General features: G+C 62.3%; 2 protein-coding genes and 1 non-coding gene across 16 annotated transcripts, besides 9 other annotated features; 2 read left to right on the top strand and 1 right to left on the bottom strand.

The window, feature by feature from the left end:
- INTS11 (integrator complex subunit 11) lies at positions 89 to 13,149 on the top strand. 8 transcript variants are annotated; one of them, XM_011541647.2, is made up of 19 exons: positions 89 to 168; positions 1,462 to 1,568; positions 2,769 to 2,841; positions 3,656 to 3,753; positions 4,220 to 4,293; positions 5,225 to 5,453; positions 9,131 to 9,229; positions 9,311 to 9,345; positions 9,787 to 9,925; positions 10,384 to 10,448; positions 10,828 to 11,017; positions 11,157 to 11,240; positions 11,625 to 11,714; positions 11,800 to 11,962; positions 12,049 to 12,156; positions 12,248 to 12,309; positions 12,381 to 12,523; positions 12,602 to 12,731; positions 12,825 to 13,149. In XM_011541647.2, the coding sequence occupies exons 1-19, from the start codon at positions 141 to 143 to the stop codon at positions 12,888 to 12,890; spliced, it is 1,983 nt and encodes a 660-aa protein (XP_011539949.1). In that variant the 5' UTR covers positions 89 to 140; the 3' UTR covers positions 12,891 to 13,149. The 8 variants fall into 8 exon arrangements, with proteins under 8 accessions (XP_011539949.1, XP_011539950.1, NP_001243385.1 ...); XM_011541648.2 differs by having other exon boundaries at positions 2,765 to 2,841; NM_001256456.2 differs by having other exon boundaries at positions 1,462 to 1,857; positions 2,765 to 2,841.
- Positions 171 to 300: a silencer, noted in NCBI's record as "silent region_59". NCBI's record gives its function as "represses an Ori minimal core promoter by ATAC-STARR-seq in GM12878 lymphoblastoid cells {active_cell/tissue: GM12878}" and the evidence as "EXISTENCE:reporter gene assay evidence [ECO:0000049][PMID:35858748]".
- Positions 1,119 to 1,628: an enhancer, noted in NCBI's record as "H3K4me1 hESC enhancer chr1:1258501-1259010 (GRCh37/hg19 assembly coordinates)". NCBI's record gives its function as "activates a minimal SCP1, AML or CMV promoter by ChIP-STARR-seq in primed H9 embryonic stem cells {active_cell/tissue: H9 hESC(primed)}" and the evidence as "EXISTENCE:reporter gene assay evidence [ECO:0000049][PMID:30033119]".
- Positions 2,392 to 2,900: an enhancer, noted in NCBI's record as "H3K4me1 hESC enhancer chr1:1257229-1257737 (GRCh37/hg19 assembly coordinates)". NCBI's record gives its function as "activates a minimal SCP1, AML or CMV promoter by ChIP-STARR-seq in naive H9 embryonic stem cells {active_cell/tissue: H9 hESC(naive)}" and the evidence as "EXISTENCE:reporter gene assay evidence [ECO:0000049][PMID:30033119]".
- Positions 5,086 to 5,776: an enhancer, noted in NCBI's record as "H3K27ac-H3K4me1 hESC enhancer chr1:1254353-1255043 (GRCh37/hg19 assembly coordinates)". NCBI's record gives its function as "activates a minimal SCP1, AML or CMV promoter by ChIP-STARR-seq in naive H9 embryonic stem cells {active_cell/tissue: H9 hESC(naive)}" and the evidence as "EXISTENCE:reporter gene assay evidence [ECO:0000049][PMID:30033119]".
- Positions 5,777 to 6,467: an enhancer, noted in NCBI's record as "H3K27ac-H3K4me1 hESC enhancer chr1:1253662-1254352 (GRCh37/hg19 assembly coordinates)". NCBI's record gives its function as "activates a minimal SCP1, AML or CMV promoter by ChIP-STARR-seq in naive H9 embryonic stem cells {active_cell/tissue: H9 hESC(naive)}" and the evidence as "EXISTENCE:reporter gene assay evidence [ECO:0000049][PMID:30033119]".
- On the top strand, positions 12,183 to 12,247 carry MIR6727 (microRNA 6727). Its single transcript, NR_106785.1, has one exon. It is a non-coding gene; the product is annotated as a microRNA 6727 (primary transcript).
- PUSL1 (pseudouridine synthase like 1) lies at positions 13,072 to 16,152 on the bottom strand. Of its 7 annotated transcripts, none has more exons than NM_001346116.2 (8): positions 16,029 to 16,152; positions 15,777 to 15,834; positions 15,476 to 15,663; positions 15,146 to 15,295; positions 14,898 to 15,068; positions 14,061 to 14,115; positions 13,678 to 13,909; positions 13,072 to 13,419 (listed from the first exon to the last, which is right to left on the bottom strand). In NM_001346116.2, exons 1-8 carry the CDS (start codon positions 16,103 to 16,105, stop codon positions 13,370 to 13,372), a joined length of 981 nt encoding a protein of 326 aa, NP_001333045.1. In that variant the 5' UTR covers positions 16,106 to 16,152; the 3' UTR covers positions 13,072 to 13,369. The 7 variants fall into 7 exon arrangements, 6 of the variants coding, with proteins under 6 accessions (NP_001333045.1, NP_699170.1, XP_024308825.1 ...); NM_153339.3 differs by having other exon boundaries at positions 13,678 to 13,840; XM_024453057.2 differs by having other exon boundaries at positions 13,678 to 13,857; positions 14,898 to 15,043.
- Positions 15,511 to 15,640: a silencer, noted in NCBI's record as "silent region_58". NCBI's record gives its function as "represses an Ori minimal core promoter by ATAC-STARR-seq in GM12878 lymphoblastoid cells {active_cell/tissue: GM12878}" and the evidence as "EXISTENCE:reporter gene assay evidence [ECO:0000049][PMID:35858748]".
- Positions 15,651 to 15,790: a silencer, noted in NCBI's record as "silent region_57". NCBI's record gives its function as "represses an Ori minimal core promoter by ATAC-STARR-seq in GM12878 lymphoblastoid cells {active_cell/tissue: GM12878}" and the evidence as "EXISTENCE:reporter gene assay evidence [ECO:0000049][PMID:35858748]".
- Positions 15,821 to 15,890: a silencer, noted in NCBI's record as "silent region_56". NCBI's record gives its function as "represses an Ori minimal core promoter by ATAC-STARR-seq in GM12878 lymphoblastoid cells {active_cell/tissue: GM12878}" and the evidence as "EXISTENCE:reporter gene assay evidence [ECO:0000049][PMID:35858748]".
- Positions 16,111 to 16,790: a silencer, noted in NCBI's record as "silent region_55". NCBI's record gives its function as "represses an Ori minimal core promoter by ATAC-STARR-seq in GM12878 lymphoblastoid cells {active_cell/tissue: GM12878}" and the evidence as "EXISTENCE:reporter gene assay evidence [ECO:0000049][PMID:35858748]".

Genomic DNA, 16,809 nt, shown 5'->3' with positions numbered 1-16,809 from the left:
TTGGATGCTGCCCAATCAGGAGGCCCGGCGCCCCGACCCGCGTTTCCGGCTAGCGCACCGGAAGTTGCAGCGAGGTGGTTGCGCCTGCGCAGTGCATCACCGCAGGCGGGCCTCGCGGGTCCGGGAGCGCGGCGGAGACGATGCCTGAGATCAGAGTCACGCCCTTGGGTGAGTGGGAGCCGCCGGGAGGGCTGTGGGGTGGGCTCCGTATGCGGCTCCGGGCGGGCTGGGCGCCCCGCTCCCTCCCGTTTCTCGTGGAGCCAGGTGCGCGCCGCGGGCGTCCTCCGGTCTCCTCCCCGCGCGGGCCCTGGTGGGAGCCGAGAGGCGGCCTAGTCCCTGCACCCCGGGCCTCCGGCAGTGACGCGAGAACGCGAGCCCCGAGGTTCAGGCGGCCGTGAGGGGACGTCGCAGATGGGGCCGCGGGGCCTTCGCGCTCGCTGTGCGCTTTCGTCGGTGCCTTGACCTCCCCGTGCCGCGCGCTGCCGCCTCCAGCCCTACCAGCCCTTCAGTCCCTTAGCCCCTCAGCCCCGCAGACCCTCAGCCCCCCAGCTCCCCAGCCTCTCAGCCTCCCAGCCCCTCAGCCCCCCAGCCCCTCAGCCCCCCAGCCCCCCAGCCCCTCAGCCCCGCAGACCCTCAGCCCCCCAGCTCCCCAGCCTCTCAGCCTCCCAGCCCCTCAGCCCCTCAGTCCCTCAGCCCCCCAGCCCCCCAGCGCTCCAGTCCCCCAGACCCTCAGCCCAGCAGACCCTCAGTCCCCCAGCCCCTCAGTCCCCCAGCCCCTCAGCCCAGCAGACCCCCAGACCCTCAGCCCCCCAGCCCCTCAGCCCCCCAGTCCCCCAGCCCCCAAGCCCCTTAACCCCGCAAGCCCCTCAGCCCCCCAGCCCCGCTTCTGCCTCCTCACGTCTTGCTTTCTGTCCACCACTCTGTGTGCTCACGCCCGAGTTACAATCAACTCTCACTTTAGCTCTTGTTCTACCTGATTTCTGCAACACTGAAAAAAATAGCAAAAAACGCAAATATGTACTCCTAAAAGTCCTGACAGTCTGGGCACTGTGGCTCACGCCTGCAATCACAGCACTTTGGAAGGCAGAGGTGGGAGGATCGCTTGAGCCCAGGAGTTCAAGACCAACCTAGCCAACATGGCAAGACCCCATCACTCCAAAAAAAAAAAATGCTAAAATTGGCAGGGCGTGGTGGTGTGTGCCTGTGGTTCAAGCTACTTGGGAGGCTGAGTTGTGAGGATTGCTTGAGCCCAGGAGGTTGAGGCTGCAGTGAGCCATGATTGTGCCACTGCACTCCAGCCTGGGTGACAGCAAAACCATGTCTCAAAAGAAAGTCAAAGTCGTAACAGTATAGAACGATGTGAAGAAGGAAAAAATTAGTCAAAATCCAGGGTCTCAGAAACAGCTGGAGGGACATGGTGTTGGTGGCCAGTCATCCTGATGTCCTTAGCGTTTTCCACAGGTGCCTGCCCTGTGCTGTCCTGGAACCTGGTCCTTCCACCGGGCAGGGGGTCGAGGGCACCTTCCAGCACAGACACCAGGACGGGATTCCATGTCCTCCCCCATGGCGTGAGCGCTTCCTCGGAGGGTGCCCCCCGCCCCGGTGTGGACACTGTGCTGTGAACACCCCTGGCCTGTGCACACCCCATGGCATTTTGCAGCTGTTTGCATGGGCCCCACTGCCCTCCCCTGCTCTCTGGGTCCTCCGTGGGGTCCTCCCAGCCTGCCCCTTTCCCATTTGGCCTCTTGGCTGCCTGTTCTGCCCACTCTCTGGACATCTGATCTTTCTGATCTTTCATGTGGCTTCAATTACCCGCAATCTGTACCTGGGTATATTCTCAAGGTCACCTCAGCCAAGGTATCATCAAAGCCGAAGTCCTGTTTCACCGCTTCCCTGCACCAGGGACTGCCTCGGGCTCCGTGTCCGCGCTCACTGGACCACTGCTGTGTCCTTGGGGTCACTCCCACGCCTTGGCCTGTGTGTGGCTACCCCCCCCGCCGCCGGTCCCCCTACCCACCCTGCCCATCCCTCCCCACCGCCGGTCCCCCCACCCACCCTGCCCGTCCCTCCCCCTGCTGGTCCCTTCCCTCCCCCCTGCCTGTCCCTCCCTGCTGCCTGTCCTCCCTCCGCCCGCCCCGCTTCTTCTCCTCCCCTGGACCATCCCTTCCCCACCCCGTCCCTCCCCCTCCCCCACCCTACCCCTCCCCTCCCCTGCTCAAAAGTTGGCTTCTCGGAGCAGTCTCCTGTCATGGTTCTGGAAGTTTTGAGGCTTCCTCATTCTCTCACCTTGCTCTTTTCTGTCATAGTAACCTTCGTCTGGCGTGCTTTGGGTGTCTTGTTTGTCTGCCGTCTGTCTCCTTGCTGACAGGGATATCTCCTCCTGTCTTCTGAGCCCTGTCCCCTCGTGTATCTCCAGGCTCTATTCCCGCACCTTTCCACTTTCCTTCCTGGGATCACTGTGGGTCCTGTCGGGAGGCGGGACTGCCAGTACTTCAGGACTGGGCTTTGGAATTCAGAAAACCAGCCCGGGCCCCATGCCTCGGGGCCGTGTGCCACAAGTGCCTCTGTGGCCTTAGGTCCCTGGGCATGAAGAGGGGCGGCCCTCCCTTCCCACAGGTGCCAGAGGGCCTCTGTGAGCCTGGCGTGGCTTGGGGTAGGAGATGCAGAGGGAGGAGACAGCTGAGACCCTGCTCTCAGAGAGCTCACACCCAGCGGGGGCAGGAACAGGCCTGGAAGAGAACCTGAGATCCCCTCTCTGTGGCAGGCAGCCCCTCGGCTGTGGCCCCGTCATCCTGATGTGTGGTGCTGGCTTTGGACACTTCGAGTGGCTGGCAGGGGGAGGTGGGTGGGATTCAAGGGGAAAACTGTTCACTGCCATCAGACTCCTGCCCAGGCACAGTCTGTGCAGGGGCCGTGACCCTTTCCTCTCGGGCCCCCAGGCCACATGAGGGGGCTGAGTGTGCCTTGGCTGGCCAAGGCCTCTGGCTGGAGCAGCTGGGCAGGGCTGCTTGGCTGTCAGGAGTGTGGGAGGGCTGCAGATGAGGGTCTGTGTTGGGGGCTGCATGGTGTGCAGTGGTGTGAGGCTCGTGTTGCCACGCTGGCCACTGCTGGACCACTGGCACCGTGTTCGCTATGGCATGGCTGAGGCTGTGTGGCGCCCCTCCACAGCCGCACCACCAGAGAACACCCAGTGCCAGCACTTAGTCACTTACTGCCTTGCCTGCCTGGGGAAAGATCCTGGAGAAGGTGGCCTCATTGGTTTGCAGCTCTGCTGGGGGTCCAGCCACAGCCCAGGAGTGACTCTGACCGAGGTGTTGGCCCCACAGACCAGCCGTTGTCTCTGTTGGAGGCTGAGGGCCACAGCACAGTGCCCACTACTTAGCCAGCAGGCCGTGGCCACCTTAAGAGGCCAGGGGAAGCTGGCGGGGGAGGGCGTGTGGGCTGCCAGCCTCCACCCTGGACATGATGGTGTGGGGCATGGTCCCCTGTGTCCCCCTTCCTGTGAGTAGGGGTGGCCCTGCTTCTTGGCCCATGTGTCTGTCCACACAGCAGACTTGGTCCGGTTTCCTCAGTGCACTGGGGTCCTGCAGAGCTTGGGGAGGCAGCACAGGGGGCGGGGGGCGCAGCAGTGACTCATCTGCCCTCCCTCGAGTAGGGGCCGGCCAGGACGTGGGCCGAAGCTGCATCCTGGTCTCCATTGCGGGCAAGAATGTCATGCTGGACTGTGGAATGCACATGGGCTTCAATGACGACGTGAGTCCCTTGGGCAGGAGGCCCAGAGGCTGGGAGAGCCGGCCATCCACAGCTGGACCCTGGGCCTCAGAGCCGGGACAGTGGGGTGGTGGGCAGCAGTGGTTGTGCTTGGATGGCTGCACCCTGTGGGGAGCAGGGATGGGTGGGCCTGGCCGAGGTGAGCCCCTGCATGGTGGGGTCCCCCTGTGCTGGCGCTGAGCCCCAGCCCCGGGGTCCTGTAGGCTGGACTCCGTGAGACCCTGGGCTCAGCTTCCAGCTCACATCTGTCAGTGAGGTTGGGGGTAACCTCGGCCCCTCCGGATGCTGTGAGCAGCCAGGGGTCCTGGTGCCACCTGCGGGATGGGAGTGCCCAGCCTGAGTCTGCACATAGAACCCCCCTTCCTGGGGGCCCCTCCCTGGGGCATGGGTGGCCCCAGATGCTGCCTGGAGACCACTGTGCAACCTGAAACCCCCACATCCTTCCTAGCGACGCTTCCCTGACTTCTCCTACATCACCCAGAACGGCCGCCTAACAGACTTCCTGGACTGTGTGATCATTAGGTGGGTTCCTGTTGGGGGCCTTGAGGGTCCCATGTCTGTGCCTGTGGGGCTTGGGCCACCTTGCTTGGTCTCGGCAGCGTTTGGCAAGGGGCCTGTGCCATCCTTGATCCTCAGGGGGCTTCTAGGCCCCAGGATCTGCTCCCTGCCTGCCTTACTGGTCACACACATGGCCTGGTCTCTGTCTGTTCTTCCGGCCCTGCCCTCTGAACCCTACTTTCTGAACCCGGCCCTCCAGGCTTCACCCTCTCTGATGCCTTCACTGTCTCAGGATCTTTAAACCCCACTGTCTTGTTGGCGATTCCAGAGTCCCGAGTCTGCCCTGACCCCAGCCTTTAGGGTTCAGCAGCTCATGACCCGCTGGTCTGGGTGGCCTCGTCTGGACGGCCACAGCACTCCTGCTGGCCCCCTGCCCTTCCCTGCCCTGTCCTCCCCAGCAGCCAGGCCCGTGAAGCCTGGAGAAGCCCCTTCTCCTCTCCGGAGGCAGTGTCCTCAGCTGCCCCTGAGCCCCTCGTGGTTGTGGTTTCTTCTCAGACACGGTGGGGTCCCCAGTGCCTTCCTGGGGCTTGCCAGGCGCTGCCCTTGCCCTCAGGTCTGTGCCACCTTCACCTGCAGCTCCACTCAGCCTGTCCTGACTGCCTGAAAAGCCAGCGGCTCCCCTATGCGCGGTTCCCTCAGCAGCTTTGCATTGTCTCGCGAGCATGTCGCCGTCACCGACGTGTTCAATTTCCCGTTTGCTTATTGCCTTGCTAGACTTTGAGACTGAAAGTTCCAGGGAGACAGTTTTGTGTTTGCTCATTACTGACTCTTCGGTACTCGGGATGAGGCCTGGCGCACAGCAGGCGAATGAAGGGGCCAGTGACCCACAAGCCCAGAGCGGGGGTGAAGGCTGGGGCAGGGTGGGCCCAGGCTGACCTGTGCTGCGTCCCCCTAGCCACTTCCACCTGGACCACTGCGGGGCACTCCCCTACTTCAGCGAGATGGTGGGCTACGACGGGCCCATCTACATGACTCACCCCACCCAGGCCATCTGCCCCATCTTGCTGGAGGACTACCGCAAGATCGCCGTAGACAAGAAGGGCGAGGCCAACTTCTTCACCTCCCAGATGATCAAAGACTGCATGAAGAAGGTGGTGGCTGTCCACCTCCACCAGACGGTCCAGGTCAGGTTCCCAGGGCCACAGCTGGCACAGTCACTGCCCACCCCCACACCAACCATGCCCTCCGCCCGTTCTACACAGTTTCTGGAAGGCTGGGGCCTCAGGGTGAGCCCACCCCACCTCACTCTTGCGTCCAGCACCGTGGGGACACCAGGAGGCGTCAGCGCGAGGATGCGGGTCCCAGACCAGACTGGGCGCCGACCCGGGAGAGCACGTGCAGGGTGGGGGTATGCACCGGCTTATGAACCCACCAGGCTCTGTCCGAGCGGCATTGAAATGGCCAGAGTGGGACAGGCTGGTGCCCTCAGAGCGCTTGGAGCGGCCAGAGACTCGCTGGAGCTCCCGGGGTGTTGCCGGGCAGGGAGGCAGGGGCTGGAGGGGAGATGGGCCAGCTCTGGAGGGTGCCTGGTTCTGGGTGTGGGTCAGGGAAGAAGTGAAGGTTAAATCAGCGAGTGACAGGTGAAATTCCATTTCTGACAAAGATTATGGGTTTGTCTGTGTCTCACTCGAATCTCTGGGTATTGCTTTTATATTTCTTGAAACTATATTAGGTACCTATGTATTTTGGAACATTTAATTTTCTGATTGAACTTGTCAAAATGAAGTATGTTTATCTTTTTTGTTGTGAAACTTTAATTTTTTTTTTTTTTTGACAGTGTCTCACTTTGTTACCCAGGCTGGAGTGTGATCTTGGCTCACTGCAGCCTCGGCCTCCCGGGTTGAGGTGATCTCCCACCTCGGCCTCCCAAGTAGCTGGGACTACAAGCATGTGCCCATACGCCCAGCTAATTTATTTTGGTATTTTTTGTAGAGATGGGTATGTGTTGCTAAGGCTCTCGAACTCCTGGGCTGGGCTCCAGGGATCCTCCCACCTCAGCCTCTCAAAGTGCTCGGATTACAGGCATGAGTCACCACACCTGGCAACTCCCTCAGTACATTTTAAACCCAGAAAGACATCATTTCTAATGCCTGGTAACACCAACATTTGCTTAGTTTTATTTATATATTTATCCTTTTTGTTGGGCTTCCTGCATTTTTTCTACTTTTTACTTGGGATAATTTGCCTTCTGCCTGAAGAATATGAGTGTGGGTCTGCTGGTGCTGAATTCTGTCAATTTTTATTTGCCTTGGCCAGGCGCGGTGGCTCACGCCTGTAATCCCAGCACTTTGGGAGGCCGAGACAGGCGGATCACGAGGTCAGGAGATCGAGACCATCCTGGCTAACACGGTGAAACCCTGTCTCTACTAAACAAAATACAAAAAAATTAGCTGGGCGTGGTGCGGGCGCCTGCAGTCCCAGCTACTCGGGAGGCTGAAAGGCAGGAGAATGGCGTGAACCTGGGAGGCGGAGCTTGCAGTGAGCCAAGATCCCACCACTGCACTCCAGCCTGGGAGACAGAGCGAGACGCGAGACTCCGGCTCAAAAAAAAAAAATTTATTTGCCTGCAAATGGATTTACTTTATCCTCGTTCTTAAAGGACTTTTTTTCCCTTAGGTGTGTAAGATTTTAGGTTGACAGTATTTTGTCTCTGCACTTTGCAAACAACGTTCTGTCTCTGGGCATGGGCAGCCGTAGGGTCTGAGCAGGAGCCTTGGTTTTTGGTGCTTGTGCTCTGATGGGCTGACATGTATCCTCAGCCTGTTTAGAGTTTGAGGCCTCTTGGATCTGTGGCTTGAGGCCTTCATCATGTTTCTTCCAGTGTTGTTTCTGCCCCGTTCCTGCTCCTCCAGGGACCCCGAGAGCCTGACGTTCAACCTCTTGAAACTCCGTCATCTGTTTGTCTTTCCTGTTTCCTGATGGATATTCCCTCTGGTGTCTTTCAGTTCATGGATTCTCTTCTGGTTATGTGTCATATGGTGTTAAATTCATCTGTTGAATTCTTTTTTTTTTTCTTTTTTTTTTGAGATGGAGTTTCGCTCTCATTGCCCAGGCTGTAGTGCAGTGGTGCGATCTCAGCTCACCTTGAACCTCCGCCTTCTGGGTTCAAGCGATTCTCCTGCCTCAGCCTCCCGAGTAGCTGGGATTACAGGCGTGTGCCACCACACCCAGTTAATTTTGTATTTTTTTTTAGTAGAGACGGGGGTTTCACCATGTTGGTCAGGCTGGTCTTGAACTCCTGATCTCAGGTGATCCACCCGCCTTGGTCTCCCAGAGTGCTGGGATTACAAGAGTGAGCCACTGCGCCTGGCCAAAATTTTGTTTTTAAATTAGCCTGGCGTGGTGGGTGCGTGCCTATAGTCCCAGCTATTTGGGAGGCGGAGGTGGAGGCGGGAGGACGCTTGAGCCCAGGAGTTTGAGTGAGCCATGATTGCGCCACTGCAGCCTGGGTGACAGCCCCACCCTGTCTCTCAATTTTATTTATTTATTTTTTTTTGAGACACAGTCTCGCTCTGTCGCCCAGGCTGGAGTGCAGTGGCGCGATCTCGGCTTACTGCAACCTCCGCCTCCCGGGTTCAAGCAGTTCTCCTGCCTCAGCCTCCCGAGTAGCTGGGATTACAGGCGCACACCACCACATCCGGCTAATTTTGTATTTTTAGTAGAGACGGGCTTTTTCCGTGTTGGTCAGGCTGGTCTTGAATTCCCAACCTCAGGTGATCCACCCGCCTCAGCCTCCCAAAGTGCTGGGATTACAGGCATGAGCCACCGCACCCGGCAAGTTTTAAATGAATAAATTAAATTTAAAAGAAGTCTAGTTTTTTGCCAATTTTTGTTTTTGACACTCTCGCTCTTGTTGCCCAGGCTGGAGTGCAATGGCACAATCTCAGCTCACTGCAATCTCCGCCTCCCGGGTTCAAGTAATTCTGCCTTAGCCTACTGAGTAGCTGGGATTACAAGCACCCACCACCATGCCCAGCTAACTTTTGTATTTTTAGTAGAGACAGGGTTTCACCGTGTCGGCCAGGATGGTCTTGAACTCCTGACTTCAGATGATCTGCCCACCTTGGTCTCCCCAAGTGCTGGGATTAAAGGTGTGAGCCACTGTGCCCAGCCCAGTATTTTTTTGTTTGTTTTTACCGAGATGGAGTCCCGCCCCATTGCCCAGGCTAGAGTGCAGTGGCGTGATCTCAGTACACTGCAACCTCCACTTCCCAGGTTCAAGCGATTCTCCTGCCTCAGCCTCCTGAGCAGTTGGGATTACAGGCACGCACTTCCACACCTGGCTTACTTTTGTATTTTTAGTAGAGACGGGGTTTCACCATGTTGGCCAGGCTGGTCTCCAATTCCTGACCCCAAGGGATCCACCTTAGGCCTGGCCGCCAACATTCTGAACCTTGTCTTTTCTCTGTCATGTATTCAAAGTCCACGCTGGAAACTCCAATTTCAGGTCCCTTCAGTTTTTTGTCCGTTGTCTTTCGTTCTTTGTCCACGTTGCCCGTCCCTTGTGAACTGGATGCTGTGTGTGAGCAACAGGGACTGAAAAGCTCAGTGCAGTGCCCTCGCTCCCCGCCCCGCCTCCCTCCCTGCCCCCGCCCCCCTCACTCCCTGCCCCTGCCTCCCTCGCTGCCCGCCTCCCTCCCTCCCTCCCCGCCCCCACCTCCCTCGCTCCCGCCCCCGCCCCCTCGCTCCCCTTCCCCCACGCTCCCCACCCCCGCCTCCCGCGCTTCCCGTCCCCCGCCTCCCTCACTCCCCGCCCCTCTGCTGTGAGGACACAGCCTGAGCGCAGCCCTGTCCTCCACAGGTAGATGATGAGCTGGAGATCAAGGCCTACTATGCAGGCCACGTGCTGGGGGCAGCCATGTTCCAGATTAAAGTGGGCTCAGAGTCTGTGGTCTACACGGTCAGTGGAAGGGCTTGAGGCTTGGGAGGGGCTGCTGGGGTGGGAGGCACCCTCCTCATGGCATCCTTGATCGTTCACCAGGGTGATTATAACATGACCCCAGACCGACACTTAGGGTAAGTAGGCTGAGGTGTCTTTTTGTCCCGTGGGCCCCCCTGGAGCTCAGGACCCTTGCAGGTGTCAGGGTGCCAGCCCTTGAGTGGCCAGCCTGGCAGTGTCTCCCATGTCCTGTGCGGCCTGGAGAGCCCCCTTCGTTCTGGGCCCAAATGCGCGAAGGCACAGGGTCCAGGCAGGGGCCTCTGTCCCTCCTTCTCTCTCTTCCCAAGTCTCTGGGTGGGTGCCTCTGTCTCGCTCTTCCGAAGTGTCTGGGTGGGTGCCTCTGTCTCTCCTCTCTCTTCCCAAGTGTGCTGCCCACAGCATTTTACCAGCTGGCTCTTTCCAGCCAGAGTGACCTAGGAAGGCGGCTGGGCGTGGTACTGGGGTCCAGCTTGTCACACCCAGCCCTGCAACCGTGGGGACAGTGCATCGTGGCTCACACCCCCACCCCCGTGTTCCAGAGCTGCCTGGATTGACAAGTGCCGCCCCAACCTGCTCATCACAGAGTCCACGTACGCCACGACCATCCGTGACTCCAAGCGCTGCCGGGAGCGAGACTTCCTGAAGAAAGTCCACGAGACCGTGGAGCGTGGTGGGAAGGTAGCTGCAGCAGGGGTGGGGACATGGGCCCTCGGCCATGCTGGGCTGGTCTTTCTGGCAGGCTTGGCTGCCCTTGGCATGGGTCAGGGTCTCAGGGTGGGGGGTACTGCATTTTCAGGCAGGGAGGGAAGAAGATTTGCTCAACATTGAGGAGGAAAACTCAGAGACCCTTTCCTAGGGAGCCCCTTTTCCCTCCTACCTCAGGTGCGGACGAAGCCCTGGCCAGGCTCCTTCTGTCTCTCATGCAGCTCCCTTCTGTCTCTCATGCGGCTCCCTCCTGTCTCTCATACGGCTCCCTTCTGTCTCTGGAGAGCGGCTGGGACGGGACTGGGAGCAGATGAGAGGCTAAGGTCCCTATGAGGCCGCAGCTCTTGGGCACCTGGCCGTGCCCTCACTGGACGCTGCCTGCTGTGTCGAGGGGCCATGTGCCCAGGGCTCCTGCCTTGTGTCCCCCTCAGGTGCTGATACCTGTGTTCGCGCTGGGCCGCGCCCAGGAGCTCTGCATCCTCCTGGAGACCTTCTGGTAGGTGCCGCCAGGACGGCTCTTTAAGGAGCCCCTGGCCCGGCCTGAACACAGTCCAGTTGGTGGGCAGCCCTGTCCAGCGTAGCGGTGGCATCTTGGCCCTGCTTGCTGCTGTCCTGGGGGGCCGCTCGTGTGCTGTGTGACCCCAGGAAGCCTGTGACATCCCGTCAGCGCCACCGTGTGCGGCTCTTGTAGGGGTTCCTGGTTCTCCGCTGAGCCCGGCTGCTGCAGGGCTTAATGGGACAAGTGGTCGCGACTGGACTCAACCTGGCCCGTGCGTGGGCTGTGCAGACACGGGTGTTGGGGGTGACCCGGCCGAGTCCTGCCCTGCAGCATTCTCCCCTGTGGCCACTGTGCTGACTGGGCCGGTGGTCCCCAGGGAGCGCATGAACCTGAAGGTGCCCATCTACTTCTCCACGGGGCTGACCGAGAAGGCCAACCACTACTACAAGCTGTTCATCCCCTGGACCAACCAGAAGATCCGCAAGACTTTCGTGCAGAGGAACATGTTTGAGTTCAAGCACATCAAGGCCTTCGACCGGGCTTTTGCTGACAACCCAGGACCGATGGTGAGGCCCGCGGCAGGGCCGGCCAGCACATCCACACCCGTCGGTCTCCTGTCTTCCGCAGGTGTCTGGGCTTGGGCCTGCAGTGGGGGTGGGGGCATCTGCTGCCCTGACCCCCCACCTGGCCCTGTGTGTCCTGTAGGTTGTGTTTGCCACGCCAGGAATGCTGCACGCTGGGCAGTCCCTGCAGATCTTCCGGAAATGGGCCGGAAACGAAAAGAACATGGTGAGGGCATGGTGAGGTGTGGGAATCTGGAAGCTGGAGGCCGACGGGTTGTCCTTCCACCCATGCTGTCTCTGAGCTCTCACTGGCTTGGCCTCGTGCTGGCCAAGGGACGTGGCTGCTGCTGCTGGGGAACGGGGGCGATGTCCGCCTGGAGCTGCTCAGTCTCTGTGACACAGCTTGTCCACCTCGGGCAGAACAGCCCCAGCCCAGCCCTGGACAGTCTTGTGCCAAAACCTGAGCCCTTTGGAGTCTGCAGCTAGGCTTGGTCGGGCGCCGCTGGCAGGTGGAAACAGCTTCCAGGGGTTCAGGCGGGGGCATCCCGGGCAAGGCCTTGAGGTGCCAAGGCTGGAGTTCCCTGGCTGTGAGCTCTGTGCCTGCCCCCAGGTCATCATGCCCGGCTACTGCGTGCAGGGCACCGTCGGCCACAAGATCCTCAGCGGGCAGCGGAAGCTCGAGATGGAGGGGCGGCAGGTGGTGAGTCTCGACCCCGCACTGGGCTGGCAGGGCCGAGGGGCACCTCCTGGTGGTAACCACTGTCCACGCCCCGTGGCCTCTGTAGCTGGAGGTCAAGATGCAGGTGGAGTACATGTCATTCAGCGCACACGCGGACGCCAAGGGCATCATGCAGCTGGTGGGCCAGGCAGAGCCGGAGAGCGTGCTGCTGGTGCATGGCGAGGCCAAGAAGATGGAGTTCCTGAAGCAGAAGATCGAGCAGGAGCTCCGTAGGCAGCCGGGCGGGCGGCGTGGGGCCCACCTCGGGTCAGCACGGGCAGCCTGGGCTGAGGCTCTCTCTTCCCCCGGGGTCCAGGGGTCAACTGCTACATGCCGGCCAATGGCGAGACGGTGACGCTGCCCACAAGCCCCAGCATCCCCGTAGGCATCTCGCTGGGGCTGCTGAAGCGGGAGATGGCGCAGGGTATGCGGGCTGGGCAGGGCAGGGCAGGGTGCTCGGGGCAGGCGGCTGGGAGCGGCCCTCACATTGATGGCTCCTGCCACCTCCTCCGCAGGGCTGCTCCCTGAGGCCAAGAAGCCTCGGCTCCTGCACGGCACCCTGATCATGAAGGACAGCGTGAGTGCCAGGACGGTCTCTGGAGGGGGGAGGGCCGCTGCTGCGCTCACTGACCTGTCCCTGCCCCACAGAACTTCCGGCTGGTGTCCTCAGAGCAAGCCCTCAAAGAGCTGGGTCTGGCTGAGCACCAGCTGCGCTTCACCTGCCGCGTGCACCTGCATGACACACGCAAGGAGCAGGAGACGGCATTGCGCGTCTACAGCCACCTCAAGAGGTGGGCGCCCGGCCCCGCCCCCCCCCCACTCCCTTGGGCCCTGGAGGCCAGGCAGGGTCTCACCGAGCCTCCCCACAGCGTCCTGAAGGACCACTGTGTGCAGCACCTCCCAGACGGCTCTGTGACTGTGGAGTCCGTCCTCCTCCAGGCCGCCGCCCCTTCTGAGGACCCAGGCACCAAGGTGCTGCTGGTCTCCTGGACCTACCAGGTAAGGGGTGACCCCCACCCCACCGCGGTCAACACAGGTATCAACATTCCTCCCTGTCCTGCACCACCCACAATGCTTTTGCCTCTGCCCTAGGACGAGGAGCTGGGGAGCTTCCTCACATCTCTGCTGAAGAAGGGCCTCCCCCAGGCCCCCAGCTGAGGCCGGCAACTCACCCAGCCGCCACCTCTGCCCTCTCCCAGCTGGACAGACCCTGGGCCTGCACTTCAGGACTGTGGGTGCCCTGGGTGAACAGACCCTGCAGGTCCCATCCCTGGGGACAGAGGCCTTGTGTCACCTGCCTGCCCAGGCAGCTGTTTGCAGCTGAAGAAACAAACTGGTCTCCAGGCTGTCTTGCCTTTATTCCTGGTTAGGGCAGGTGGTCCTAGACAGCAGTTTCCAGTAAAAGCTGAACAAAAGACTACTTGGTACTCTCTTCTTGGTGTACATGGCTGTGTCCTGCACTGTGCCCCATCCCGCCTGGGACAGAGACGGGCATCCAGGGTGCTGGGACCCGGGCAGGGAGGCTACTGTGGAGACCAGGCAGCAGTGCTGTGGGCCCCAAGCAGCTGTGACTGCCCTGGCTTGACCAGCACAGGGTTGGGCCTGGTGTGGCCTAACTTTGGCTTGAGTGTCCAGGGTCATCCGTGGCTCCCGAACTGTGGCCCCTGCAGGGTGCAGGAGGCAGCACCTGTGGACGGACCAGACCCTGCGTCAGCCTGGGGCAAGACCGGCCCAGCACCCTCCCCACCGCTGAGACCACTCCCATGACCAGGGAGTGGGCCAGCCCAGGACGGGCTACGGGCTGGCCTGAGGGACTGCAGCCCTGGGCGGGGGGCTGCTTCACCCCCAGTTGCTGCCGTCAGTGGCCCCTGGCCCCCCACCCCATGCCTCGGCCACAGTAGTCACTGGGCACATGACAGGAGCTTCTCGTGCCTGTTTTTCTTACCGAGGTTCCCGTACAGCACTGACTTGAGGAATAAGCCGTGGGCTGGGGCTACACGTGTCTGGTGCTTGCCCAGGGGATCTTGGCTCTCCAGAATCGTCTTCACCTGGGCAGGTGCCAAAGCCCCCAGCCCCACGGCCACCAGCACAGCCGTCATCCTCCGTACCTGTGACCCAGAGCCACCTGTGACCCAGAGCCGCCCGTGACCCACCAGCACAGCCGTCATCCTCCGTACCTGTGACCCAGAGCCGCCCGTGACCCACCAGCACAGCCGTCATCCTCCGTACCTGTGACCCAGAGCCGCCCACGACCCAGAGCCAAGACTGCACAGGGGCCTGCCCACCCTCAGCCCCACCCCCTGGGGACGGCCCCAGAACAGAGCCTACCTGTCTATACAGGAAAGACTGGCTCTCAAACTCCAGGTTCCAGAACCGCAGCTTCCTGGAAAAATACGTACCTGTAGGTGTCTGTGGGGCAGTGTTTGCCATCCTCAGCCTACTATGTGGCCTTGGACGGGAGAGTGACAGGGTGGGCCTAAAGACGAGCCTGGTTCCCACTAGCTTGGCCACCAGGGGCCCTGGCTGATCTCCTGCCCCCAGTGAGGCCCATTGGAGGGGCTTAAAACCAGAGAAACAATGCTTGGGCAAGGAGGCAGCAGGACCCTGGAGGCTGGGCAGGTAGCCTGGCCATCCCAGAGGGGCTTGCCCTGGGCCCTCACCTAGGGTCCTGGTGCAGGGTCTGGGAACGTGGCTGGTGCGGGTGCCAGAGACCCCCAGTCCTGTACCTGCTGCTCTGCCACAGAAGTCTGGGGCTGGCAGAAGTTCTTCCCCCCTTCAGGGCTCACCCCAATAGGGGAGGTTCTGGTCAGAAGCTGCCACCTGGTGGGTGGCCCTCGGGACAGTGCTGGGGGCAGCAGAAACCACCCCACCAGAACCACTGGCACCAGTGAGACCTTTCCAGTAGCTGCCAACATTCTTCCATCAGGCATGGCAGGGGTTTTTCAGAGACAAGCAGCCTTCCCTGTTCTCCGCTCCCCAGCCTGGGGGGAGGGCACAGCTGGAGGCTGGGGGGCGTCCGGGCGAATCCCCTCCAGCTGTCCAGGTCCTGAGGACTCCCGGCTGCCTGCCTCCCGCCTCACCTTGCCTTAAAACTGGGGGAGGTGCTGGAGCTAAAATCAGCACGTGACTTGAGGGCAGGGCCACAGCCCAGGGGCCCTTCCTCACCTGCTCTCCTCGGGGGTGACCAAGGGGCTGGCTTGGCCTGGGGAAACGGAGACCCGGCGCAGCGTTCGCACGGGGCTCGGCACCGGGCTGCCAGCGGACTGGAAGGCGCTGAAGTCGTGTGTGCCGAGGAGGTGCTGGGCGGCTTCCTGCATGGCGACCATATCCAGGCAGCTTCAGGGACCAGGGTGACCGTCAGGAGGGTGGGGCCGGCCTGCCCGCCCCCTCCCCGCTGTCAGGGCCACACTCACTCTGCCGGGAGAGTCCAGCATAGGTTGCGTTCAAACACCGGCAGCTCATCACGCCGGTGACAGCCAGTGGCCAGGCGGTACAGGTAGGTCCGGGACGTGGCTGCGTGACGAGCGTGGAAGTCGCTGGGCACTCGGAAGGCCCGCAGGACCCTATGGCGGCAGGTAAAGCTCACCGGAGGAACGACCCCGCCCGCCCGCGGTGTCACATTGGCTCTCCTTCCCCCTCGAGCTCCGACCAGACAAGGAAGTCTGTCCAGATCTCCAGCCTCCGCCCGCGACAGATGGAGTCGGGAAGGCACAGCCCCAGGGCTGCTTAGGTCGCGGGCTCACCTGATGGCCGGGTGCCGCAGGTGTGTGTTGAGGGCCTCGGCCAGGACCTCGGGCGGGAAGGGCGGCCGGCCTGAGCGGCGCTGGACGTCCAGGTGCGCCGCGTTGCTCAGGGCGTGGACCCCGGCGTCCGTGCGGCTGGAGATGGTGAACCTGACCGGCTCCACGGAATTCAGCCGCTCGGCGGCCTCCTGCAGGACCGAGCCGCGGGGCGGGCGGGTGAGCGAGGCCGGACCCCGGGGACGCGCGGGCGGGAGCCTCCCCCTTACCCCTCACCGGGCGTCCCGTGACCGGCTGAGCGCACCTCCAGGTAGTTCTGGACCCCGACGGCGCGCTGAGTGCCCCTGACGGCCGCGACCCCGCTGCGGGCAGAAGCGGGCGGAGGTTACCGGGGGCGCCCTGCCCTGGGGTCTCCGCCGCCGTCTGAGGCCAGGGCCGCTTCCTTCCCCGAACGTTTGGAACCCGCGTCCAGAGACATCCGCCTGCCCGCCCGCGCCCTCCTTCCCGCCTCCGCCCGGGCCCACGTGGCGCCCGCCGCTGCGCCTGGGAAACCTACTTAAAGTCGGTGCCCACGTACTGGAAGTACACAAGATAGCGCGCGCGCACGGAGCCTGAGGCCGGCGCCGAACTCATGGCGGAGCCCAGCCGGTGGCGTCAGAGGCGGCCTCCAGCGCAGGAATCCTGCGCGCGCGCGGACGCGGCCTGGTCACGCCCCCCCCCCCTCCCCCCCGGCCCCGGCCGCTCTTGCGCCTGCGCGGTGGCACCGCGCCACGGCGGCCAGAGTCGGGGAGCGGAGGCGGGGCCGGGCTTAGGGAGCGGCTGCAAAGTGCCGGCCCGCCGCCGAGCGCAGGCGCTCTACCTCTATCGCGGCGCCCCGGGAGGCGCGCACCAACCACGCGGTCACCCCGCGCTCTCGCGGGCGTGCATTCGTTCACTCGCTCATTCATTCGCCGCCGCCCACACTCCCCGAGCGCGCCCGTTCGCCGCGTTGCGGCCAAGTCCTCCCAGACGTGGTTTTTGCAAACGCCCTGAGTTGCGCAACGGCCGGGATGGTTGGAGCGGGCGGGCCCGCGCCCTCCCCGCGCCCTCCCCGCGCCCCACATTTCCACCGACTGTCCCCGGAGACGGCCGTGGCAGGCCCCGCCTCACTTCCGGACCGGGGTGGTCCCTGGACGCTGCGAGAGGCGTTTGGCGACGCTCCCCGGCGGTGACAGCGGGCGGCGCGCGCGGGCGGCGGACCTTGGCGACGCTCCCCGGCAGTGACAGCGGGCGGTGCGCGCGGGCGGCTGACTTTGGCGACGCTCCCCGGCGGTGACAGGCGGGGCGGGGCGCGGCGC

This window comes from Homo sapiens, chromosome 1 (genome assembly GCF_000001405.40).
Source record: "Homo sapiens chromosome 1, GRCh38.p14 Primary Assembly".
NCBI classification, from domain to species: Eukaryota; Metazoa; Chordata; class Mammalia; order Primates; family Hominidae; genus Homo; species Homo sapiens.
This window is presented reverse-complemented; position numbering and strand designations above follow the sequence as displayed.

What these genes read in the sequence shown, in the direction of transcription:
- INTS11 (XM_011541647.2), top strand. Translation starts at nt 141, where the DNA reads ATGCCTGAGATCAGAGTCACGCCCTTGG. An exon ending in CGAGTGGCTGGCAGGGGGAG is followed by an intron (nt 2,842 to 3,655) that starts GTGGGTGGGATT and finishes TCCCTCGAGTAG; the next exon opens with GGGCCGGCCAGGACGTGGGC. An exon ending in CCGGAAACGAAAAGAACATG is followed by an intron (nt 11,241 to 11,624) that starts GTGAGGGCATGG and finishes GCCTGCCCCCAG; the next exon opens with GTCATCATGCCCGGCTACTG.
- PUSL1 (XM_024453057.2), bottom strand. Translation starts at nt 16,105, where the DNA reads ATGAGTTCGGCGCCGGCCTCAGGCTCCGTGCGCGCGCGCTATCTTGTG. An exon ending in TACGTGGGCACCGACTTTAA is followed by an intron (nt 15,835 to 16,028) that starts GTAGGTTTCCCA and finishes TTCTGCCCGCAG; the next exon opens with CGGGGTCGCGGCCGTCAGGG. An exon ending in CTGCGGCACCCGGCCATCAG is followed by an intron (nt 15,296 to 15,475) that starts GTGAGCCCGCGA and finishes CTGCCGCCATAG; the next exon opens with GGTCCTGCGGGCCTTCCGAG.